Genomic DNA, 26,597 nt, shown 5'->3' on the forward strand with positions numbered 1-26,597 from the left:
ACCTCTTTTCCCAATCTCTGTCACCATTCAAACATTTAAAATAATAATTTAGATATCTTAGAAAAAAAATGTTTGGTTACTGAATTAGTGTTTGATCTTAACATTCTTTTTCTTTTTTCTTTTTTTTAAGTCAGAGTCTTGCTCTGCTGCCTAGGCTGGAGTGCAGTGGCACAATCTCTGCTCACTGCAATCTCTGCCTCCCAGGTTCAAGCGATTCTCCTGCCTCAGCCTCCTGAGTAGCTGGGATTACAGGCACCCACCACCACGCCCGGCTAATTTTTTGTATTTTTAGTAGAGACAGGGTTTCACCATGTTGGCCAGGCCGGTCTCGAGCTCCCGACCTCAAGTGATCTGCCTGCCTCGACCTCCCAAGGTGCTGGGACTACTGGTGGGAGCTACCGCACCTGGCTGACGATCTTAACTTTCTTTCTAAGCCTCCATACCAGGGAAACATTCAATCAGGGATGCTCCCAGGCTAGTAAGGGAAGAGTGCCCCAAGGTGTTATTTGTACCGGTATATCCAAAAGGAAATGGGAATGAGTAACTATTCCCAATCGCCCTTCTCTCAGCTCTCTCAAAACAAGTGAGTCACACTCTTTTCTTCCCCTCTTACCTTAGGTCATTCCAGAATGTTTAGAGGAGATAGCTACAGTATAAAAAAGCTATGCCAGATAAAACTGACTTTATTTTATAACAACAACAACAAAAAAAGAACAAGGGGGAATTTTTATGTTTACCAAGCCAAGACTCTAACAAATAATTTATTTAAGTTAATAACTGAAGAAAATGTAGCTAAAGAAACTAGAACTCAGGATTAAGAAACTCACTCAAAACCGCTCAACTACATGGAAACTGAACAACCTGCTCCTGAATGACTACTGGGTACATAACGAAATGAAGGCAGAAATAAAGATGTTCTTTGAAACCAACGAGAACAAAGACACAACACACCAGAATGTCTGGGACACATTCAAAGCAGTATGTAGAGGGAAATTTATAGCACTAAATGCCCACAAGAGAAAGCAGGAAAGATCCAAAATTGACACCCTAACATCACAATTAAAAGAACTAGAAAAGCAAGAGCAAACACATTCAAAAGCTACCAGAAGGCAAGAAATAACTAAAATCAGAGCAGAACTGAAGGAAATAGAGACACAAAAAACCCTTCAAAAAATTAATGAATCCAGGAGCTGGTTTTTTGAAAGGATCAACAAAATTGATAGACCGCTAGCAAGACTAATAAAGAAAAAAAGAGAGAAGAATCAAATAGACGCAATAAAAAATGATAAAGGGGATATCACCACTGATCCCACAGAAATACAAACTACCATCAGAGAATACTACAAACACCTCTACGCAAATAAACTAGAAAATCTAGAAGAAATGGATAAATTCCTTGACACATACACTCTCCCAAGACTAAACCAGGAAGAAGTTGAATCTCTGAATAGACCAACAACAGGAGCTGAAATTGTGGCAATAATCAATAGCTTACCAACCAAAAAGAGTGCAGGACCAGATGGATTCACAGCCGAATTCTACCAGAGGTACAAGGAGGAACTGGTACCATTCCTTCTGAAACTATTCCAATCAATAGAAAAAGAGGGAATCCTCCCTAACTCATTTTATGAGGGCAGCATCATCCTGATACCAAAGCCGGGCAGAGACACAACCAAAAAAGAGAATTTTAGACCAATATCCCTGATGAACATTGATGCTAAAATCCTCAATAAAATACTGGCAAACTGAATCCAGCAGCACATCAAAAAGCTTATCCACCATGATCAAGTGGGCTTCATCCCTGGGATGCAAGGCTGGTTCAATATACGCAAATCAATAAATGTAATCCAGCATATAAACAGAACCAAAGACAAAAACCACATGATTATCTCAATAGATGCAGAAAAGGCCTTTGACAAAATTCAACTACGCTTCATGCTAAAAACTCTCAATAAATTAGGTATTGATGGGACGTATCTCAAAATAATAAGAGCTATCTATGACAAACCCACAGCCAATATCATACTGAATGGGCAAAAATGGGAAGCATTCCCTTTGAAAATTGGCACAAGACAGGGATGCCCTCTCTCACCACTCCTATTCAACATAGTGTTGGAAGTTCTGGCCAGGGCAATTACGCAGGAGAAGGAAATAAAGGGTATTCAATTAGGAAAAGAGGAAGTCAAATTGTCACTGTTTGCAGATGACATGATTGTATATCTAGAAAACCCCATTGTCTCAGCCCAAAATCTCCTTAAGCTGATAAGCAACTTCAGCAAAGTCTCAGGATACAAAATCAGTGTACAAAAATCACAAGCATTCTTATACACCAATAACAGACAAACAGAGAGCCAAATCATGAGTGAACTCCCATTCACAATTGCTTCAAAGAGAATAAAATACCTAGGAATCCAACTTACAAGGGATGTGAAGGACCTCTTCAAGGAGAGCTACAAACCACTGCTCAATGAAATAAAAGAGGATACAACAAACGGAAGAACATTCCATGCTCATGGGTAGGAAGAATCAATACCGTGAAAATGGCCATACTGCCCAAGGTAATTTATAGATTCAATGCCATCCCCATCAAGCTACCAATGACTTTCTTCACAGAATTGGAAAAAACTACTTTAAAGTTCATATGGAACCAAAAAAGAGCCCGCATCGCCAAGTCAATCCTAAGCCAAAAGAACAAAGCTGGAGGCATCACGCTACCTGACTTCAAACTATACTACAAGGCTACAGTAACCAAAACAGCATGGTACTGGTACCAAAACAGAGATATAGATCAATGGAACAGAGCAGAGCCCTCAGAAATAATGCTGCATATCTACAAGTATCTGATCTTTGACAAACCTGAGGAAAACAAGCAATGGGGAAAGGATTCCCTATTTAATAAATGGTGCTGGGAAAACTGGCTAGCCATATGTAGAAAGCTGAAACTGGACCCCTTCCTTACACCTTATACAAAAATCAATTCAAGATGGATTAAAGACTTAAACGTTAGACCTAAAACCATAAAAACCCTAGAAGAAAACCTAGGCATTACCATTCAGGACATAGGCATGGGCAAGGACTTCATGTCTAAAACACCAAAAGCAATGGCAACAAAAGCCAAAATTGACAAATGGGATCTCATTAAACTAAAGAGCTTCTGCACAGCAAAAGAAACTACCATCAGAGTGAACAGGCAACCTACAAAATGGGACAAAATTTTTGCAACCTACTCATCTGACAAAGGGCTAATATCCAGAATCCACAAAGAACTCAAACAAATTTACAAGAAAAAAACAACCCCATCAAAAAGTGGGCAAAGGATATGAACAGACACTTCTCAAAAGAAGACATTTATGCAGCCAAAAAACACATGAAAAATGCTCACCATCACTGGCCATCAGAGAAATGCAAATCAAAACCACAATGAGATATCATCTCACACCAGTTAGAATGGCAATCATTAAAAAGTCAGGAAACAACAGGTGCTAGAGAGGATGTGGAGAAATAGGAACACTATTACACTGTTGGTGGGACTGTAAACTAGTTCCACCATTGTGGGAGTCAGTGTGGCGATTCCTCAGGGATCTGGAACTAGAAATACCATTTGACCCAGCCATCCCATTACTGGGTATATACCCAAAGGACTATAAATCATGCTGCTATAAAGACACACGCACACGTATGTTTATTGTGGCACTATTCACAATAGCAAAGACTTGGAACCAACCCAAATGTCCAACAATGATAGACTGGATTAAGAAAATGTGGCACATATACACCATGGAATACTATGCAGCCATAAAAAATGATGAGTTCACGTCCTTTGTTGTGACATGGATGAAATTGGAAATCATCATTCTCGGTAAACTATCGCAAGAACAAAAAACCAAACACCGCATATTCTCACTCATAGGTGGGAATTGAACAATGAGAACACATGGACACAGGAAGGGGAACATCACCCTCTGGGGACTGTTGTGGGGTGGGGGGAGGGGGAAGGGATAGCATTGGGAGATATACCTAATGCTAGATGACGAGTTAGTGGGTGCAGCGCACCAGCATGGCACATGTATACATATGTAACTAACCTGCACATTGTGCACATGTACCCTAAAACTTAAAGTATAACAGAAAAAAAAAGAAAGAAAATGTCCCTGTAGCTTCAGGAAACATGGAAGTAGTGCACTGTAATGCAAAGACCACTGGGACTGGATCACAAAGTTCTGAAGTTCTGGTCCTAGTTTGAGGCCAGACCTGTGGTAAATCCTAAACTCTTTTCTGTACATTTTCCCTACCTGTCTAAAATGTGGGGGTGTGAGATACTGATAAAAGGGAGAAACTCTAAAGTTCTCTGTCTCTAAAATTTTAGTCATTTAATAGAAGAGCTTTTACATATAAGAGCTAAGGTGGTATGGCAGAAAATGCAACAGATCTGAACTCAACTGACTTGGGTTTGAATTTTTGCCTCTGTCTCTTCCCAGTCTCATTCCTTTATGTGTATGATAATGGTATCTGCCTTACCTACCTCACAGGACTGTTAAAAGGATCAAATGAAAACATACGCAATATGTAAAAGTGCTTGTTAATTTAAAATGTTAGTTCCTATTTTTGTATTTAGGTCTGCCTCCTGAATTGTCCAAGAAAACATGTCTAGACATGGTAGAAAGTATTCCAGAGACTCTTTGTTATCAGAGAAGATACAGCTATTTATAACTTACAGTTTCAGATTGTTTGCTTCCTCAGCTACTGGTTTGTTAACAATGCCACAGTTAGACAGCCCAGGTTCCTATTAATACATACCGAGGTATGGATAGCTGTTCTCTGTCATAGGAAAAAATATGTAAGTTTTCCAAACCAACTCCTCTAAAGAAAGATGTGGAGACTTTGGCCAAAAGTCAAGTACAGTATTTCTTCCTCTGCTTATCTGCAAGGGATATGATCCAAGAACCCCCAGTGGATGCCTAAAAGTGTATACAGTATAGTATCAAACCCTATATATACTATGTTTTTTCCTATCATATACACATATGATAAAGTTTAACTTATAAATTAGCCACAGTAAGAGATTAACAGCAAATAACTAATAATAAAATAGAACAATTATAAGAATATACTGTAATAAAGTTATGTGACTCTGTTCTCTGTCTCAAAATATCTCATTTTACAATACTTACCTATTTTCAAACTGCAGGTAACCATGGTTAACTGAAACCACTGATAAGGGAGAACTACTGTAACTGTGTTGATTAGTGGTATGTTAGAAGTGGAAAGAGAAGCAAAGGATAATTGGTGGAGCTGTAGAAAGGATTGACTTAAAAGTCTAGACTAACACTAAGGTAAGGAATACCATCAGAAAAGAGTTGAGGGGATTTGGAATCATCATTCTGATTCCGTAAGTTTTATGTTAGTTGGACCTACTCTATAGATAAAGGAGGTCCCTGTGAAGCAAAATCTTGGGAGGTCATCAGATATGGAGAGTAATTAATACATTTGGAAATCTTAGCCAGTACCAAGATTATTAAATTGGGCTACTAAATGCTGGAGACTGAATCCCTTTTACTGATTATTTGCTTTTTCATTATGATACCTAACTTTTCCCTCAGTAAATATGTAATGAATTTCAGATGGTTCTCAACTTTCCAAAACCCAAAAAGTTCATCTGTGAAGGCCTAACTTTTACTTTAAGTATATATAAAATGCAAACACATACAATTGAATATAAAATAAAAAGAACGGTTTTAAAGTAGCATGTAAAAAATCCATTTTATTGATTTATAATCATATTACCTTCTTCATAAATAAAGATCCATAAAGATGGATCCAAGATGGCATGCATCTGCAAGGGATGGAATTCCACAGATAAAACCAGAGCAAAAAGGTCCAAAAGGAAGGACTGAATGAAGACACAGCCTCATTAGCACAAAGAAATTCAACTCAACTCATTACATGTCGATTACCAATACCTATCTTTAGAGAGACAGTAAAATATAAACTAATTTACGTTAGTAAAATTGAACCAAATATATTTCTCATCTTTTTTTTTAAGACAAGAGTCTTGCCCTGTTGCCCAGGCTGGAGTGCAGTGGTGTGATCTCAACTCACTGCAACCTCTGCCTCCCAGGTTCAAGCCATTCTCCTGCCTCAGCCTCTGAGTAGCTGGCACTACAGGCATGCACCACCACACCCGGCTAATTTTTGTATTTTTAGTAGAGATGTGGTTTCACCATGTTGGCCAGGCTGGTCTCAAACTCCTGACCTCGAGTGATCCACCCACCTCAGCCTCCCAAAGTGCTGGGATTACAGGCGTGAGCCAGCGCACCCAGCCCCTAATCATTTAAAATGCTCTAGGCTTGCTAATTCTTACTGTATCTAGTTTCTGGACCAGCATTTGCTCCAAATCCAACGCAGGAACTAAGTAACAACAGCACTTGCATCCTGATGACAGTCTTAGCTACATCTACCTGAGGCAAGAAACTAGAAAAACAGGATATATTGTGGGCTAAGATCAAAAGAACTGTTACAGAGGGCCTAGAAATATCTCATTCTACATTTGGCTACACTTTCCTACCTCTTCTTTTGCAGGATTACCTGACTTTAGCCTAACGCTAAACTATGACCTATTTCTAAGAGTATCTTTCTCTATACTGAAATTTCTGAATATTATGTATATATATGTAATATATAAATCAACAAAATTCACAGATTTTTAAGATTCTAAATTTAAATAGATACAGGTACACTGTACTATGGAATAACCTTTCCTTTTCTTGTATTCAAATAAGAAAACTTCAGTTGTCCCAAATATAGATAGAAACTAAAAACAGTTAATTTAATAGTGATAGAGGAATATTCATAGAGACTAACATTGCAGACTAGGATTTATACTACAAAGATTTTTTAAAAAAACATACAGTGTTTGAAATTAATGTATCTGACTGCCTTTCTCTAATGCTCCCGCTTCACCTGCAGCACATCAGACAAGGTAGTAATTTATGATAATCATATGAAAATATACAATTAATATTCACCACCTCTCATTCCTCATCACTTCAGACGATCAGTAATGCAGAGTGAAAATGCTGTCAGATTTCTAATTGCTTTGTAATGGGCTTGAAACAGGGAAATCATTAAAGGCAAACAATCTGTCATTTGTCTGTTACTTTAACTATCTATCACACCAAAAAACTCATTAAAGAAATTGCTAATGAGCTACAAAAGACTAGAGTCATGGTGCTTCTACAGTAGATTAAAAAGTAATACTATGAATTGCTGAAAGTATTTTAAAAATATGATATTTTGTGGAAATTCATCAGAAAACATCTATTCTTCAGTATATTTTTTAAGATGTGTGGTTTCATTATTTTGGCATTTAATCCATCATTGCAGAAATCCCTTTAGCATACAAGACCTGTTTTTCTCAGTCTCTAACTAATTAAACTGAAAGGTTGCAAGAAGCTGAAATGCTAAATGTGTTTATTACTAGTAAACTGACATAAGTAATAAAAAACAGACTATAGTAACCCTGATGCTAAATGAAGAATGTATTTTAAAATCTGATTTTTACTTTCATATCTCTTGTGGATTTAAACTGTTGAAGTTGTAATGCTTAATCATCTTAAATAATGCTACCATCATACAAAAATTATATTCAATGACTGAATTTGAGCATAGTAATATTAAACTGTGTGTAATTATATATTAACTATTTTGAAATATTTGAAAATATTAACCAACACTAACATGTCTCATAATTTTACTTCATGTAATTTTAGGGGAGGAAATAAATCATTTCTTTAAGTGAGCACACAACATTTTATATGTCTTTATGAATTCTACTCTTCCATATGAGATACTTAGCATTTAAAAACCTATAATAATGACACTAATCTTATTTTAAAACAAGAGTTATTGCCTTATATTTTAGAAAAATATGCAAGTAACAAAGATAACAATGATACTAATTATGTTTTCCATTGCTAATGATGAATTAAGTCATGAATTTAATTTCCTATTACAAAAGATGAGGCTCATTAATAAAGTCAAACTTCTATGTATGTTGACCCATTCATACCTATTAGAATTCACACAAATTAAAAAACCTGAATGCAATAACATGTTTAGCCAGGTGCCATAGTTAATATACACTAGTGAATTCCACACTTAACTTCAAAAGGTTCCATAACACCCTGGAAACATCTTCATTATACTCTCTAATTGACTTAAACAGACTTCAAATCAACTGTTTAACACATTTTAACCCACAAATTAACACCCCTTGATCATTCAGATTAACCTTTCTTCTGTAAGTCAATTACATGACAAAAATAAACTTTTCGAAAAAAATTCAGGATTAAAAAACTAAAATAGAGAAAGTAGCATGCTTTAAAAAACAGTACAGCCAGTACCTGACTTAGGATGGTTTGATTAACAATTTTTTGACTTTACATGGTGTGTATTCTACTGAATACATATTCAGAAGAAGCCATACTTTGAATTTTGATCTCTTCCCAGGCTAGTGATAGTTAGTAAAATAATTTCTCATGATGCTGGGCAGTGGCAGGGAGCAGCAGCTGCCAGTGAACCATGCACTCTCTGAGGGTAAACAACCAATACTCTATGGTGTAGTGTGTGCTACATGATTTTGCCCAACTGTAGGCTAAAGAAAGTGTTCTGAGCACAATTAAAGTAGGCTATGTTAAGCTATGATGTGCAGTAGGCTAGATGTATTAAGGCACTAATAATATTTTCAACTTAAAATGGGCTTATCAGAGATAATCCCATCACATGTCAAGGAGCTTCTGTATATAAATGCATATCCCCACATGACTGGAAGAGATCACCACAAATTTCAGTGTAGTTGGAAAGTGCATAGAAAAACCAGAGTGGTGATAAGAAAAAAGAGAAAAGGGCAAACAAGTGAATGGGGGAAAAAACAAGTTGGTATTTGTATGACTATTAAAGATAAATAGAAGATGGATTACAGACAATATTTTTAATAGGCTCATGGAATGATTAAAACATTAGATGTGAAGATAGGAAAACAGGAACATAAATCTCAGATAAGATAAAGACCTATAAGAGGTCTGAAAAAAGTTAGAAAGAACTGACACATAATGCTAAAAAACAAGAAAAACACAGCAACAAGTGCGGTGCCCGCAAAAAATATTTACCTCTTCCTCTTTCTCTCCTGCTTAGTGTACTGCCTTGCACAAACTCAACGAAAGTTCATCGATGATGACTATTGTCAAAATGGCAAAGCAGATAATAGACTGAGTTAAGACAACCAACAAAGGGAAAAATGAAAACCATTTCTAAAAGATGAGCTAGGATTATTCATTAGAGCTGATTCTCAATACTATCTAAAGCTTTATGTTAATCTGTCAAAAAAAAAAAAAAGAAGAAAGGAAGTTTCTTTCATCCTAGTCATTCACCTCTCCCTTCCTTCAAAACACTATTTAAAACTTAACATTTCATACATCTTCCTGGATTAGCTTCATCTTGATTCAAGGATTTTAATCATTCAAGTAATCTATTCTACGTATTAGTATACCTGCAAGTTATTAATTAATGTCACAGCACCTGGTATTTCCTCTGGCATAGTACTTCCTACAGTTATTTCAGTTCCTTTTTAAATGTCTGTTTACCCAGATAAACTAAGCTTTTGACAGGACTACAGTCAACTTTGTTTTGTGTCTCTTGTAACTAACGGAGTGTGGGGTACATAAGAGACACTCAACAAATATTTGTCGATTGAGTCAATAGGTGAATGAAGGCTGTATATATATCATTGACTTTTAAAAATCAAATAACTAGCTAGTTTTTGGTGGTTTTTCTATCTTCCCAGTAGATTATAAGTTGCTCTAGAGACAATCATTCAATTTTGGAACATAACCATCATATCCCATGGTACTTAAATACAGCTTAGTTCACTGGTATAAAAATCCTAAAATTCAGAAATAAAAATCAAGGAAATGAAGGAATAGTTGGTGATGGAACTACCAAAAGAGCCAAGTAAATATAATCCTGAATAGGAAATAATTAGCAGAAGTACACTATATGTATACATCTATATAATATAGATATAGATTTCCATTATTATCCATCAATGAGAAGCACAATTGACTAGTATGACATCAAATTAAGAATTTGTGAATGTCTGGTAGACGTTAGTTTACGGGCAGGCGTGTACCAAAGTGATAGATTTAATAACAATGTCATTTTTTCCTATCATCATGACAAAGGATCTTAAACTCCTGATGTATCTAGCTACATCTATAGCACTTGATCAATCATCTGGGAATCAAATATTTAATATACGCCTACCTTGGTTATGTTAGATGCTGATGACGCAAACTAAAGTTTTGCCTATCCTTTTAATTTATTCTGAAGTCCAACCAAATGTACAGTTCAACAAATATTTGGGTTTGATTTTATTTTTCCAATTCAATTGTTTCTTGCTGTCATTTGCTCTCTTTGGAAATTCCTAAAATACTGTTATGAATGTCCAACATTCTAATATATCAAATGTGCAACAAATATTATTAATTAATAATAACAACAATAGCTAACCTTTACTGAATACTTATTACTTTCAGGCACAACTATCTCATTTAATTCCCACAACAAATCTATGAGGGAAATACTATTATTACTCCCATATTACAGAGGAAGAAACCAAAGCAAAGAGATGAATTAAGTTCACATAGCCGTAAGAGGAAAAGCCTGGACTAAACACATATGTTCTGACTCTAGAGTTCATGCTTTTAACCATGATACTAACATAGTTTATATTTCCACTATGTAAGTTTCACATAAAATGGATAAATTGCCTTTTAAATATAAGATACTGAGAAACAAAACTATTAGAGCTATGTATCATTAGAACTCCAGAGAATGAGGCAAGATAGCTGGTTCTTAGTTTCTCTGGAGAGGTGTTCTTGCTCTCAGAAAGCTTGCAACCCAACTGGGGAATCAGAATATATTCTAAGGAAAACAATATACTGTGATATACAAAGGACTTGCTATGAAAGTTGAGGGGCGGCAGTAAGTTCTAAGGACCAGGCCATCATAAAAGGCTTGATGGAAGAGATAGGCCTTAAAGCAGGGATTACTCTGATAGGAGGAAGAAAAGAATTAGGGTGTTATAAGTAAGGAGAAGCATTTGAACACAATTATTGATGAAATGCTGTTACCAAAACACCAGGAGTTCCATCTATGTCTTGCTGCTTACCACCCAAAAAGTCAATCACTGAGACAATGATTATTGTCAAAGAAGAAGGCTTTAATCAGATGCTGCAGCCAAGGAGATGGGACATCAGTGTCAAATTCACCTTCCTCACTGACTAAAATTAGGGGTTTATATAACAGGGAAGAAATGTTAACTACGTATGAGAAAACAGGAACTAAGGAAGGGTAAGGAAACAATAACGAAGAATGAGGGGTCTGGCATATCACTGTCTAGATGCAGTAATCTGGTGAGTTTCAGCTCTTTGATACTTGTTGAGAGGTCTGGGCATCCTTTCTTGAGGAAGGAACTGAGATAAAGATCAACAAAATGTGGCTGGGCGCAGTGGCGCATGCCTGTAATCTCAGCACTTTGGGAGGCTGAGGCAGGCAGATTGCTTGAGCTCAAGAGTTCCAGACCAGCCTGGCCAACATGGTGAAACTCCATCTCTACAAAAAAAAATACAAACATTAGCCAGGCATAGTGGCATGCACCTGTGGTCCCAACTACTTGGGAATCTGAGGTGGGCAGATGACTTGAGCCTGGGAGGTAGAGGCTGCAGTGAGCTGAGATCATGCCACTGCACTCCAGACTGGACACCAGGGCAAGACTCTGTCTCAAACAAGCAAACAAAAAGATAAAACAAATGCAAGTTTCAAGCTTTCAGAAAAGAAGTGTCCATTTCTATGTTTATTAATTTAAAAAACCCCAATAAACAAAACTAAACAAACAAACAAAACCCTGTCTATGGGACTGTTGGGTTGATTTCAGTACCATGAAAAGATCCAATTGTTTAAATGTTTAATGTATGGAGATAATAGGGGAGGTTGGAAAAGTAAGGATCATATTGAAGAGGTAACTTGAATGCTAGGTTAAGGAGTTAGGACTTTATTCTCTAGACCTGCCCTGCTGGATACAGTAGCCACTAGTCACATGTGGCTACTGAGCATTTGAAATGTGCTAGTTCAAATTGAGGTGTGTTCGGGCACAATACATACCAGCTTTTGAAGACTTAGTAGGAGAAAAGAATGTAAAGTATCGCCTTAATAATTTTTAGATTAATTAATTTTGTAGCTTGCACTTACGGCTTACATTATATTTCTATTGGAAAGTACTGCTCTATAAAATGAAAAATGAAGGAAGCTTAATGATCAGAAATTTATGTAAAAATTGTTTTAAGAAGTTTATTTTGGTATAAGCAGAGTGTAAGACAACTGTTCTCATTCAGTAAGCCAATGGCAAGTAAAGAAAAAAACAAGGTTCTAGTGAAGAAATGGGACTGCTATAATTTAAAAGATATTTAAGAGACAGAACAGCTAAATGGAAAGTGTACATTTTGTCTGATTCTGAGTCAAGCAAACCAACCAGAAAAAGACATTTTCAATTAACCGTGGAAATGTAAGTAAGGTCTAGATATTATGTGACAGTCCAATAATGACATTATGGAGATAAAAGAAAAAGTTGGTACATTTTAGGGATGCAAACTAAAGTATGTAGAGATGAAATGACAAAATATTTGGTATTGCTGGGGAAAAAAACTATTTCTTACTTTCCAAACCCCAATAAATAAATAAGGTAACACAATAACCTAATAAATAGTAAATCAAAATAAAATGCTTTTGCTGTAAAAAACAAAAAACCTGGAGTACCGGAGCATATCTACCTACACAAGGAAGAACCAAGCTGTGGACAGAAGGGAGTTTGAGGGCTAGAGATGTTCAAGGTGGCATCATTCTGACAGTACTGTTTAGAAAAGCATTCACCACACTACTTAATTCCATTGCTTTAGGTATTTTCATGAGGCCACACAAGAAAGTATGATGCAGCCAGGACTAAAACCAGATGCTCTTTGTATCTGCCTTTAAACATGACAAAACCCTGTGGAGAACCTAATCTATGCTTTCATCTTTAGATTTTTAAACTTGCTTGTTTCATTCAGTTATTCTTTATAGTTCATAACATCATTAAATAACTGATCATATTAGATTATTTTATTTATTCTGCTTAAGTTTATCTTGACTGCTTCTCAAACTCAGATTGGTAGAAGTTTAAAAAAGAAGGAAAGCAAAATCAAAGCAGTAACAACAAAACCATTTTAACATCTCCAAGTGAAATTTATGTCATGCTGGCCAAAAATAAGATGTAGTTTTCATCTCCAGGTACAATGCTAGGAAGAGGTGTTAATGTAAAGTAAGCAGCACAAAGAAGTAATAAAAGGAAACACAGGAATCAAGAAAGGGAGAAGAAAGAAAGGTGAGAAAAACACCACCACCACCACCACCACCACCACCAGCAACAATAACAAACCCCAACAGTGCCCATATGCAGTGCCCCCTAACTGCTTCGAAGAAGAACAGTTCATTCTGCTTTTTTCTGTAAGCTTGAAAGATAGCATAGCTGCCCTGGGAATGTGTAGACTTGCTGAGTCCTTGTTCTGCCCCTACCCAACTAGCTGTTTGGCCTTGATCCTTGATTTCTTTCCTCATCTATAAAGTGGGAATAATGGCACCTGCCTTACTTGTCTCACTGGGTTGAAATGAAAGCGAAGTGAAATAGCAAATGTGAAAGAATTTTGGAACGTTTTTATGTTGTAAGTTGGTTGCTAAGGTCTAAAAGAAATATTAATAATTACGTCGAATATCTTCTGCAGAAAAAATTAAACCGACCCCATCCCCCGCACATCTAGCCCTACCTGGCATAGGTTTTAGTTCTTTTAATTTTCGAATTAGAACATTGTAAAGGAACTGTAGGGACGAGAGTGGCATCAGGTCTCCTCATCCTTCTCACATCCTTGCCCCCGCACCCCTCTCTCACCCCAGAGTTCAAGCACCAACCGAAAAGATTGAGAGTAGCTCAGGGTACGGTAAACGGAGGAAGCTTTGAAAAAGGCGGGGAAAGCCTGGGATGGCGAGGGGGTGCTCGCTGAGGAGGAGGAGAGAAGCGACAGTCGCGGGGCCCGGAAAAGAGAGACTTAGAGCGAAGCCAAAGGCGCCTTTCTTCACAGTTTGGGAACTTACTGGTAGTAAACGCCACTCCATAGAAGCGGTGACCGGTTACCATAGAGACCGCGTCGGGGTGGGCGGAGCGTCGCTTCTGAGCTGTGCCACGGCCACATCAGCTCGGCCAGAAACGCGAACACGTCGGAACAGTGACTTCCGGCGGAAGAAGAAGCCGGTCCGGAGTTCTGGCCGACAGCAGGCGAGGAGTGGGTAGCAGCGCCTATGTGAAGTTAGGTAGGTCTGATGTCGTATAAAGCGCGGAGAGGGTGCCCGCCAATGGCTGGGTGGGTAAAGCCGACTGTGAATGGAGAAGATTCCCAAGTCCCGAGCTTGAGGAGGCCCCGGCTGTTTCGTTAAGTGTATATAGCTGTGGGAAGAGGTTGCCTGATTTCTGGGGCTCCTGGTAGGGTCTCTCTTCTGGAGCGTGGAAGACTGGGGCATCCTCGCGTAGAGAGTTTCACTCTGTCTTTGCGAGGTCTCAGCGCCTCTCCAATAACAGGGGACTCTTGTTCTCTACCAGCTGGTGCTGACGTTATTTCCCATATCATGCTCTCCAGACAATCTGGAGGAAAAGCAAACGAGAAACTTTCAGAAGGAATGCCCCCAAATTTATTTTAATTCTTTGATGTTCTGTTTTGCTTTTTTTTTATTCGTTCATTTTGTAAATATTCATTAAGCTCCTCCAGCGTGTTTAGTGGGTGCTTACTTGTGTGCCAGTTTTATCATAAGACTAGCAGAAATACCTTCTTAGAGGTTCATACACCACCTGGTTCATTATAAAATTCTTTTTTTTAATGCTGTTCATTAATTAAAGTATAAATATATATCGTGAAATACCTAACACGTTTTCCATACTTGTCGGTACACTTATACCTGGAATTCTTGGGGCATTTTAAATGAAAATCTGTGCTTCCTCAGGTTTGCATTATAATCATGATTTACTCGACTAAATACTAAAGAATTTACAAGGGCAGTACTTAATTTTTTCTTAGATACATGGCAAACTGTGATGAATTGTCATTAATATTTCTATTCAGCTAATCTGAGAAGGCCCACTTCTGGTTCCATGGATGATGGCGGTTGAGCAGATGCCAAAAAAGGATTGGTACAGCATCCTGGGAGCAGACCCATCTGCAAATATATCAGACCTAAAACAAAAATATCAAAAACTCATATTAATGGTAAGTCTTTTCTTTCAGATTTTAAATCATGAGGGGAAAAAAATCAATTTTTATATGAAACCACAAATTTAGGTTTCCAGAAAATAGGATACCAGTGGCAGGAATCCAGGTATTAATTTGATTTAATTGAACATTTCAGTAATATTGCAGAAAAACTTGATTTGAGGTGGAAAAGCATGGTTAGGAGCAGGAGATCTGAGTCAGGCTGCTTGAGTTAGAATCTTGAGTCCATCTTTATCTGTGAGAATTTGGACAAGTTACTTTTTCTTATATGTGCCAAGGGAGGATTAAATGAAATAATCCATGTAAAATATTTAGAAGTGTTGTTACATAATAAACAACAGTAGCTACTAGCCACATGTGGCTGTTGATTACTTGAAGTGTGGCTAGCCTGACTTGAGATGGACTGTAAGGGTAAAATATACACTGGATTTTAAAGACAGTATTTAAAAGGAATTAAAATAATTTAACAATTTTTATGTTGATTATGTTGATTAAAGTTCACTGGTTTTATTTTTCCTCTACTGTGTCCATCTGCTGATAAACTTCTTAAAAGAATTCTTGATCTCTTACCTAATTTTCATATCTAGCATTTCTACTGGCTCCTTTTTTAAAGTTTCTATCTCTTTCTCATCTTTTTATACATACTGTCCACTGTTTCTACTATATCCTTTAATAAACTTATCACAGTTAAACTCCCTGTCTGATAATTCTTTGTAGTTAATAATCAAACAGTTTTTATGTGGATTATATATTGAAATGATGATATTTTGGATTACTGGCTATTTTGTGTTTTATATACATAATATGCATGCATGTATTTGCACATATCAAAGTTTGTTTCTCTTGCATTTTACTTTTTTAACATTGCATATGTAGCCGGCATTTATACTTACATTATATTTCTATTGGGTAATGCTGATTTAGACCATTTATACACTAATTATCAGTTGACTTTTTTTTTTTTTTTTTTTTTTTTTTGAGATGGAGTTTTACTCTTGTTGCCCAGGCTAGGGTGCAATGGTGCGATCTTGGCACACTGCAACCTCCGCCTCCCACTTTCAAAGGATTCTCCTGTCTCAGCCTCCCAAGTAGCTGGGATTAAGGCGCATGCCACCACGCCTGGCTAATTTTTATATTTTTAGTAGAGACAGGGTTTCATCATATTGGTCAGGCTGGTCTCGAACACCTGACCTCAAGTGATCCTCCCGCCTCAGCCTCCCAAAGTCCTGGTATTACAGGCATGAGCCACTGCACCCGGCCGACTCTTTTTTTTTTAAATGAATTGTAGTATTTGTAAATATATCTCTGAATTTTTATATTCATTTTTTCAATCTGTATTGTGATGCTTCTTAAGCCAATGTCTGTAATTCTATACCGACGTCCGGTTAACTCAGTTTATAAAGAGTAAAGAACCATTATTTATATAGAATTTGTTGTCTCTTTAGTTTATACCAGTTACATCAGTGTTGTTTTGCCAAAACTATTAATGTTCATTGTGAGAGACTAACTGTTTCATCATCAGGATTGTACTAATATTCTTACTTTAGGTAGTATGTTGGACTAAATGACCTTAAGGTACCTTTTGCCCCAGAAGTTTTAAAGTTTCTGTCAGCAGAATCAAGTAGACTTTATTGAAAAATATCCTAATATTAAACCATCCTTGTACCTCACTCAGTTAATTGGGAAATGAACCTGGAAAAGTAGACTGGATCATTCTGGTTCTTGTAGGCCATGCTGGCCTTTAATTGGCCACTGAGAAGCAGTCTGCACATAATATGTAGTATCTGTCAAACAGCAAAGTAGGTAAATCATTTCACATATGCGCTAACAATGTATCAGAGAATTCTGGTTGCTCTACAGCTTTGCCAATATTTGATGTTATTGGTCTCTTTCATTTTGGCTATTGGAGTTTTTGCAATTTTGCCACCATTGACATTTTGGGCAGGATAATTCTTTGTTATTTCGGCTGTCCTGTGCTTTGTAAGATGTGTGGCAGGATCCTAGATGCCAGTAACAACCAAAAATGCCGCCTGCATGTCAAAATTGCCACATCCCATGAGAATCACTGGACTACTCTACAGTGTCTGGTCATACCCCATTGTGGGGTTGTTGCTTTTTTAAAATTTATCTGATGACTAATGATGTTGAGCCCTTTTTAATGTGATAATTGGCCATTTGTATAATTTTCTTTTATGAAGTGTTTTTTTTTAAATTAAATATATTCTTGATTCTGTATATATGTTGTATATATTTTCTCCTAGTCTGTGATTTACCAGGTCATTTTCTTAATGGTGTCTTTTGATGCAGAGTTTTTTGTTTTGACAAAATATAATTTATCAAATGTGTGTTTTTATAGTTAATACTTTCCATCTTCTCTAAGGTTATGAGAATATTCTTCGATGTTTTCTTCTAGAAGTGGTCATTTGCTTTTACCTTTAGACTTATGATTTCTGTGTATAGCATGAGATGTGAGGTCATGTTTTTATTTTTCCTCAGTATATTCAGTTGTGCCAGCATCATTTGTTGAAAATTTTTTTCTCCATTGGACTGTCTTGGCAATATGAGTCTATTACTGGACTCTATTCTGTTTTATATGTTGTTTATCCTTTTACTAATACCTCCATCTTGATTACTGTAGATTTATAATCAGTCTCAAAGTCATTGTAAAGTTAGTTCTCTAATATTATCCTTCTTTTCCAGTTTATTTCGGTTATTCTAGTTTGCTTATATTTCCACAGAAATTTTAGAATCAGCTTGTAAATGTCTACCAAAAAAATCTTGCTTGAGTTTTCAACTGGGATTGCAATAATAGGTATCCACTTTGGTAGAATGGCATCTTAATAATATTGAGTCTTTGAATCTATGAACATGTATCCTTCTCCTTACTTAAGCCATCTTTCATTTCTCTCGTCAGTGTTTTATAATTTTCAGTGTAGAGGTCTCACATATCTTTTCTTGAATTTATTTCTAGGTATTTGGTTTTTGGTTCCATTATAAATGGTATTTTAAAAAATAATTCATTTTTCACTTGTTGATTGATAGTATATAAAATTATAGCTTATTTTTATATACTGGTCTCTTATCCTACAATCTAGGTAAATTTGCTTTTTAATTTTCATAGCTATTTTTGTCAATTTCTTAGAATTTTCTGCCAACACAATTATGTCATTTGCAGATAACGAGAGTTTTAATTCTGTCTTACCAATCTGTATGTCTTGTATTTCCTTTTCTTACGTTAAGGCACTAGCTGGTTGCTTCTATTAAAATGTTCAGTTGAAGTGTTAAGAGCAGGTATCCTTGCCTTGTTCCTGATTTTAAGAGGAAAACCTTCAATGTTTTACCAGTAAGTATGCTGTTAGGTGTATGTTTTTAAAGATGCCCTTTATCAGCTTGGGGAAATTCTTCCAATTAATACTTTGCTAAGAGTTTTTATGGTAAGTAGGTATTTAAATTTGTTAGATCCTTTTTTTTTTTGCATTTATTGAATTTTTGCATTTATTGATTTTTCTCATTTAATTTGTTAATGTGGTGAATCACGTAGATTTTTCTTAAGTTAAACCCACTTCTCATCCCTAGGATAAACAAACCACTTATCATGAAGCATTATTATATTTATACATTGAGGGATTCTAGTTGCTATTATTTTGTCATGGATTTTTATGTTTAATTTCATGCTGTATATTTGTCTGTAATTTTCTTTTCTCGTAATGTTTATGTCTAAATTTAGTATCATAGTTATGCTAGCCCCATAAAATGAATTGTGATTTCTGGCTTTATAGTGAGGAAGAGAGGTGGAGGGCTAACCATTTTTTTAGTCTTAACCAGTCTTTCTCTTGTTTAGTTTTGCCCCTCAACTCCACTCTCAAAGGTACTTAATGCCTTCCGTTCCTCAATTTCTCCTGCCTCTGTGTGAATGAACTCACTTCTTTGTCTCTTTCACTTTAGACTTAGGTTTCAGTTTTTGCAGGTACACTGAATTTGTTATCATTTATTGATGAATTTTCCATCTCTTCAAATTTTGGTGTCTTTTGCCTGTCTTTTCTCTCCTGTTCTTTTGCCTGTTTTTTTCTCTTCTCTCCTGTTTGTTCTTACACATTTATGCCTTTTTTTAAAAAATTATTATTCCTTTTCTGTTACTATCAAGGAATTTTCAGAGGGATGAAAGTGTGAGCCAGTTGCTGTGGTTCACACTTGTAATCTTAGCTACTTGTGAGGCTGAAGCAGGAGGATTGCTTGAGCCCAGGAGTTCAAGGCTACAGTGAGATATGATTGTGTCACTGCACGCCAGCCTGGGCGACAGAGCAAGACCCTCTCTCTAATTAATTTGCCATTTAGTGGAAGCCCTGAACTATTTTCTTTTCCCTTTAGAGGCCAGATACCCTTCTGTGGCCATATGCCTTTGCACTTGCACTCTGCCCATCCACTACCTCACCTGATTCTCACTCACTGTTTCAAAATGATCTTAGTTGTAATCGTGCCTCCCCAGCTCCCTGCCATGTCTTTAGTACATTTCATGATATTTCTCTAAGACAGGGGAGGTATAGCTGTTAGATAAGGAGAATGAGGGTAGGTGGACTGTAATAAAAGGTTGAAATTTTTTCTTCTGCTTTTCTTTTAGAAGATGAGAGAGACTTGAACATGTTTACACTGTATGGGAAGTGGCCACGGAAAAGCTTGAGATTGAAGTTATAGGAGAGTTTGAATAATTAACAAAAGCAGAGAGGAATAGGATCTGAATCATAGGTAGAAGGATTAGCTTTAGGTAAGAGATAGGAGGGACCTGTCTTCATTGTTACAGGAAGGAAGGAAGGAAGAAAAGATAGTTGCAATAGCCGGTTTATTTGTAGGTTTGGTAGCGGAAAGTTGATGAGCTCTCATTTGGTACCTTCTTTTTATTCTCTGTGAAGTAGAAGACAAAGTTATCTGTTGAGAAGGGTGAGAGATGAAGTGAAGCAGCAAATTACAGGAGAGAGAATTTCAACTAGCATTATTCTGGGAAGGCTCCTTGTAGATAGCTATGTATACTATGGGAGCAAGAAGTCTCAGCTAACAACCTGGCAGCAGGCAACAAGAGACAATACATCTGATATAATTTGGCTGTGTCCCCACCTAAATCTCATCTTGAATTGTAGCTCTCATAGTTCCCATGTGTTGTGGGAGGGACCCAGTGGGAGATAATTGAATCATGGGGTGGCGAGGAGGGGGTTCCCCCATATTGTTCTCCTCATGGTAGTGAATAAGTCTCACAAGATTTGATGATTTTATAAGGGGTTTCCCCTTTCGCTTGGCTCTTATTCTCTCTTGCCTGCTGCCATGTAAGACATGCTTTTCGCCTTCTGCCATGATTGCGAGGCCTCCCCAGCCGTGTGGAACTTTGAACCATTAAACCTGTTTTTCTTTATAAATTGCTCAGTCCCGGGTATATCTTTATCTGCAGTGTGAAAATGGATTAATACACCATCTCATAGCATTTTGCCCTTCTTTTTTCTTGGTTGATGTATCAGTGGTCCTTATATTACAGTTCAGCGCAATAATTTATAATCATAATTATGGCCATGAGTTATGTTCAGTTAATTTTGTTTAAGAAGGCTAGGAAGTATAGAGTAGTAAGTGTATAATTAGTAGCACGTGTATTGTACTTAGCAGTTTACAAATGCTTTCACATCTGGTTTTATCTTCTGTAAGATAGGCTTTGTTACCCCTATGTTTGTACTTGAGAAAATGAAGGCTTACTTACAGTTAAGTGGTTTGTCAGAAACACAGAATTAGTAAGGGTTATGATCTAGGCTTGATCATGTATCCTCTGACTCTAGATTCTCTCGCATTATATCACACTTCTCATAATTGCCATCTAAAAGGGTTTACTGTTGTTTAAAGGCATAATTTTTATTTTTTTCTGGATTTCCATAGAACACCTCATTTATGCACAGTTAATTAAGTATTATGGAAGGTCAGACATAATTACTACTGTCTTGTAATTTTGAAAGGATCTAGATTTTTTATGGCTTATGAAGTGAAATTTAGTTTTCTTACTCTTTTTGCATAAGTTTAGACTTTCTAATAGATTTAAGGAGAAAATTATAAGGGAAAAGCATATTATTTATAATGTTTATCAGATTTTTAAAAACAAAAACAGGCTTTTAAAGTTCGTATTCTTGTTTCCCAATTAGAACTATCACATTTTGTTAGTCTGTGTTTTTCAACAATGTCACAAAACAGTTGGAGAATAAAATTACATTTGACTAACAGCATTTTGTATCTAATTTTGTAAAAAGGCACACGTATTACATGTAATTTTCTAAGTTCAGAAGACTTTGAATTTAACACCTCCTGCACAATTAGGTGTTTAGATAAAATATTGCTAAATTGTAGGCTGCTGAGTTTACAATACATATTGATTTAGTAAATACTGTTTCCTTATTTCAGTTTTTGTAAATGTAATGCTTACTCAGGGTCCTGATTCTGAAAAAATTCTTACTAATTGAGATATTTTAGAATACTTTAAAGATACATATTTACGTAAAGTGCAGAATTAGTTTTAAAGACATTCACATACCATACATATTACATATTATAGACATACATATTGGCCTGCCGTGTAATAGTTTACTATATAAAAAATAAAAGTAATTGAACCAACATTTTTCAGCACTGTTTTATTAATAGGGACTTTACTTATTAGTAAATCAATTGTGAATTGATTTTTAAAATTTTTTTTAGTTTTCTATTAAAAACAATTTGAATAGTAATCCATTGCTTTGAAATGGTCTAGGGTCCAGAATGATTAGTTATGTTATTCCTGTATTTTTTGCAGTTATGCATGTGAAAATTGCTATTTACTTAAGAGAAAGCTTCATCTCAAAAGCTTTGTCAAATTGAGAACTGGGGGTCTTTTCCCACTGATCCTGATAATATTACAGGATACTTCTCAGTTGGAAAAGAGTTATTGTGTTGGAAAATTATATGCTTCTGTTATAATATGTTCTATAATCTTGAAGAAAATCCATGTAATTTGAGTCAGGAGTGTGCAGGATGGTCTTGTTGTTAATGTTGGAAGGGTGTAAAATACCACTTAATACTTACGTGGGCATTCAGAGGGTCTCATTTGATTAGAAATGGTTATATATAGATTAGCTTTAAGCTAGTTATGTCATCCACTTTAATGTCTTGAAAAAGAAAGTAGAAAGGGGACCTGTACTATAGTCAGAAGAAAATTACCACGTTGGAAAAGAAGGGAGTGAAGAACAATTCTTTAAATAAGTCTTTTGAGTACATTACAAAGCAAAAGAGATCTTGATTACAGGAAAGGTACTTAGGCATTAAGAGAAATTTTGTGAAAAAAAATCTAGGAGTGTTGTAAGTAAAAATCTGGAAGATATAACTTGTCTTGTAGTTCACATTATAATTTCTGTTACCATAGTTAACTATTTAGCTGTCATCTAGGTATTATTAATATATAGAATGCATGATACGTAACAATAAATAGTTATGTCATAGGGAGACTCTATCATAAACAATTCTTTTTCGTGATAAAAGTGGTAGGAATAGCATTTTAAATGAATAACTTTAGCTAACATGTAGCACTGCGTATCAGATACTCTTGTAATCACTTCATGTGAATTATTCAACTCTGCAAAGTGCAATATCATTATTATTTCTAATATATAGATGGGTAAACCAAGGCTCAGAGATTAAGTAACATACTGACTAGCAGCAAGAAATTATGACACACTTTACATATACTTTGAAAACTGTATTAAAAAAAAGCAGGCAGTCAGTTACCTTTCCAGTGGTTTTTTTTTTAATATTCCTATCGCATAAATGCAGCAATAATAGATTATATCTTTAGAGAAAAGGTATTATTTATGTTAAAGGTACAGACTAGTGAAAAGTTAAGCGTGAGCTCTAGAGGGAGGGAAGGAAATTACACTAGAAACTTGGTGAAAAGTGTGAAAGGTGGCAGTGTGGTGTTGTGGAAACCTGAGTTCTTATCATGCCTGATTATTAGTTAATGACATTTACTTCCCCAATTCTTGAGGAATGTAAAAATATCTTAAGAAGTTCATTTTCTTTTATCTTAGCCATTTCCAGTAAAATTGTGCTAGGACAACTAAGGTGTGTCTTAACATACATAAACTGCATGGATCTGAGTTTCTTCATCTGTAAAAATGAGATGCTTATACTATGTTACTCTCTAAAGCCAGCTCTGGTATTTGTTCTTTTGTTTTTGTTTTTTTCTCTATTATATTTTCATTTGTCCTCTAGCTCAGGGGTCCCCAGTCCCCGCGCTGCAAACCAGTACTGGTCCATGGCCAGTTAGGAACCAGGCCATGCAGCAGGTGGTGCGGAGCCAGTGTGCGAGTGTTACCACCTGAGCTCTGCATCCTGTCAGATCCACTGTGGCACTGGGTTCTCATAGGAGCACAAACCTATTGTGAACTGTGCATGTGAGGGATGTAGGTCGCACATTCCTTATGAGAATCTAATTAATGCCTGATGAACTGAGGTGGAACAGTTTCATTCTGAAACCATACTCCCTACACCCCCATCCATGGAAAAATTGTTTTCCACAAAACTGGTCCCTGGTGCCAAAAAGGTTGGGGACCGCTGCTCTCGCTGACCCACCAAGTCTGAGAATTTTTTTCTTAATTTAACATACTGTAAGTAACTTTTGGCAACCCAAGATTGGTTTGTTGACTCATAATGGATGCAATTTAAACAGAACAATTAATTGAGACTGCAGTGGTAATCTGTCTCTCATTTGCCATGTTTTTAAGATGAAAAATATCCCCTTTATGGCTTGTTTAAAATGTCATCGTTGATAATGCTTTTAAGTTAGAAAATCTGAGTATAAATGCTCCACAGTTTCCTTTTACAGACAGTGAAAGAAATAAATCTTTTTTTTTTTCTTTTGAGACAGAGTCTCACCCTGTCGTCCAGGCTGGAGTGCAGTGGTGCGATCTAGTCTCACTGCAACCTCCACTTCCCAGGTTCAAGCGATTCTCCTCCCTCAGCCTCCCAAGTAGCTGGGATTACAGGCGCCCGCTACCACACTCAGCTAATTTTTTTTTCTTTTTTTGTATTTTTAGTAGAGACAGGGTTTCACCATGTTAGCCAAGCTGGTCTTGACCTCCTGACCTCAGGTGATCCACCCGCCTCAGCCTCCCAAAATGCTGGGATTATGGGCATGAGCCACTGTGCCCGGCTGAAAGAAATCTTAAAATAACTTTCTAATTATCATCTGACTTACCTAGCTGATAGGAAATCTATGAAGAGATGATTTAGGGCATTATTATATTTATCACATAGTCTAGCTTAAAAGAATTATAGCGTTTCAGAAACTGAAAGAATCTAGCTAAAAGAATCATAGAATGTCAAAAACTAAAGAAAGAGATTGAGGATGTGGAAGATGAGCACAGAAAAGTAGAACAAAGACACATAATAAATATTCAAAATCGAGTAACATGCAACGAACTTACAGACCAAAAATCATTTTCAACCAGTATTATTAAGCAAACATTAACATGGGAAAAGTGAAAGTTTTGTTTTAAAATATATTCACATTTAGAATTTCCTTATGATTTGGCGTATGTTATTTTCAGTTACGCCAAAATACAAAGACAGGAAAACATTTTTGTCAGTCCTTTCTGAAGGGATTAATATCCCACTTTTGTTAAATTTTTGGAGTTCTAGAAACTAGGGTGATAGTTGTTTTACTTTTTCTTTTATTTTTATAAAATAACTCGAACTTTATTATGTTTCTTATTAGGATGTATTTCTTTTAGGCATTTAAAAAATAAACTTTATTGAGGTATAATTTATATGCAATAAAGTGTACCTATTTTAGTACATTTCAGTGAGTCTTGACTACATGTATGTGTATAATCAACACCATATCAAGATATAGAACATTTTCATCTCAGAAAGTTCCTTTATGCTTCTCATTCTTCCCTGGGCAACCATGGATCTGCTTTCTGTTGCTATAGATTTCTTGAGCCATTATTTTAGGCTCTAAAAACATCTTGATGTTTTATTTGGCCTTTAATGAACCATATTAGTAAAGATTTTTAAAGAGAGATTAATTTATCCCTTCACCCACTCCCAAAGAGTAAATCTTATTATAGCACATTACATAGTATACTTTCAACCAAAATGTTTTGTAAGAAGTCTGATTAGTGCATTTGGGTATGTTTTATAAGAAGTCTGATTAGTGCATTCGGGTGTTATATGGGTTTTATATGATTAAAAGTAGTAACTATTACTTGTAAGGTATACATAAAATCATACCTCTTGAGACATGAAGCATCGTTAAAATTTGACTTCAAGTAAATCATAAATTTTTAGCTCACGAATCCCCTTTTACTGGTTAAGGTTATTTGTGTTTTGACTGATTTTTCCCTTATTTTCAAATTCACTCTTCTTAATAATTATAATAATTTGTATTACATATCTGTGCTTGAATTATTTTCTGTGTCACAAATACAATTAATGTTGTTGTGTCCATGTTATCTACAATTAAAGATCAAATAGATTCTTAAACTCAGTAATGGACTGTAAAGTCTCTTCTCATTCTGTTAAGATTTTGAAATTGACTGTAAATTGAGCATTGTTATTGGTGTGGTGTGTAGGATAAGTGTCTGGAAAAGACATATCTTTTTCCCTGAAGCAACTTAAACTAGCTATTCATTACTTTTTGGTTATCTCAAAAAAAAATTTTTTTTTTTTTTTTTGAGATGGAGTCTTGCTCTGTCACCCGAGCTGGAGTACAGGGATGTTATCTCAGCTCATTGCAACCTCCGCCTTCCCAGTTCAAGCAATTCTCCTGCTTCAGCTAACCCCAGTAGCTGAGATTACAGGCACATGCCACCATGCCTGGCTAAGTTTTGTATTTTTTAGTAGAGACGGGGTTTCACCATGTTCGCCAGGCTGGTCTCGAACTCCTGACCTCAGATGATCCGCCTGCCTCTGCCTCCCAAAGTGCTGGGATTACAGGTGTGAGCTACTACGCCTGGCTCTCAAAACATTTAAAAATACAAAATATAATTCTTACAATCCCTAAGGTAATCCAGAATATTTTTTTGAGAATTATACTTTTCAAATTAGTTAAATGTATATATTCGAATCTGTTTATGAGGATTGAAACAATGTGAGGGTGTCTTTAGTAATTCATTCATCCATTCACTCAGCATTTGT

General features: G+C 36.1%; 2 protein-coding genes across 22 annotated transcripts in view, besides 1 other annotated feature; one reads left to right on the forward strand and one right to left on the reverse strand.

Annotated features, from left to right (window-relative positions):
• DCDC1 (doublecortin domain containing 1) overlaps positions 1 to 14,281 on the reverse strand; it is a 506,137-nt gene extending 491,856 nt beyond the window's left edge. For all 21 annotated transcript variants that reach the window (NR_170625.1, XR_002957144.2, XR_002957145.2 and 18 more), the window contains exon 1: positions 14,239 to 14,281. The gene's annotated coding sequence lies outside the window, so the exon portion shown is untranslated. The remainder of the gene's footprint in view (positions 1 to 14,238) is intronic.
• Positions 14,215 to 14,694: an enhancer, noted in NCBI's record as "active region_4556". NCBI's record gives its function as "activates an Ori minimal core promoter by ATAC-STARR-seq in GM12878 lymphoblastoid cells {active_cell/tissue: GM12878}" and the evidence as "EXISTENCE:reporter gene assay evidence [ECO:0000049][PMID:35858748]".
• The window catches only part of DNAJC24 (DnaJ heat shock protein family (Hsp40) member C24), a 62,976-nt gene continuing 50,780 nt past the window's right edge, over positions 14,402 to 26,597 (forward strand). The window contains exons 1-2 of the mRNA NM_181706.5: positions 14,402 to 14,454; positions 15,258 to 15,401. Of these exons, the coding sequence (NP_859057.4) occupies positions 15,291 to 15,401 (111 nt within the window). The 5' untranslated portion in view covers positions 14,402 to 14,454; positions 15,258 to 15,290. The remainder of the gene's footprint in view (positions 14,455 to 15,257; positions 15,402 to 26,597) is intronic.

The sequence above is a fragment of the Homo sapiens genome, chromosome 11 (genome assembly GCF_000001405.40).
Source record: "Homo sapiens chromosome 11, GRCh38.p14 Primary Assembly".
Classification (NCBI taxonomy): Eukaryota; Metazoa; Chordata; class Mammalia; order Primates; family Hominidae; genus Homo; species Homo sapiens.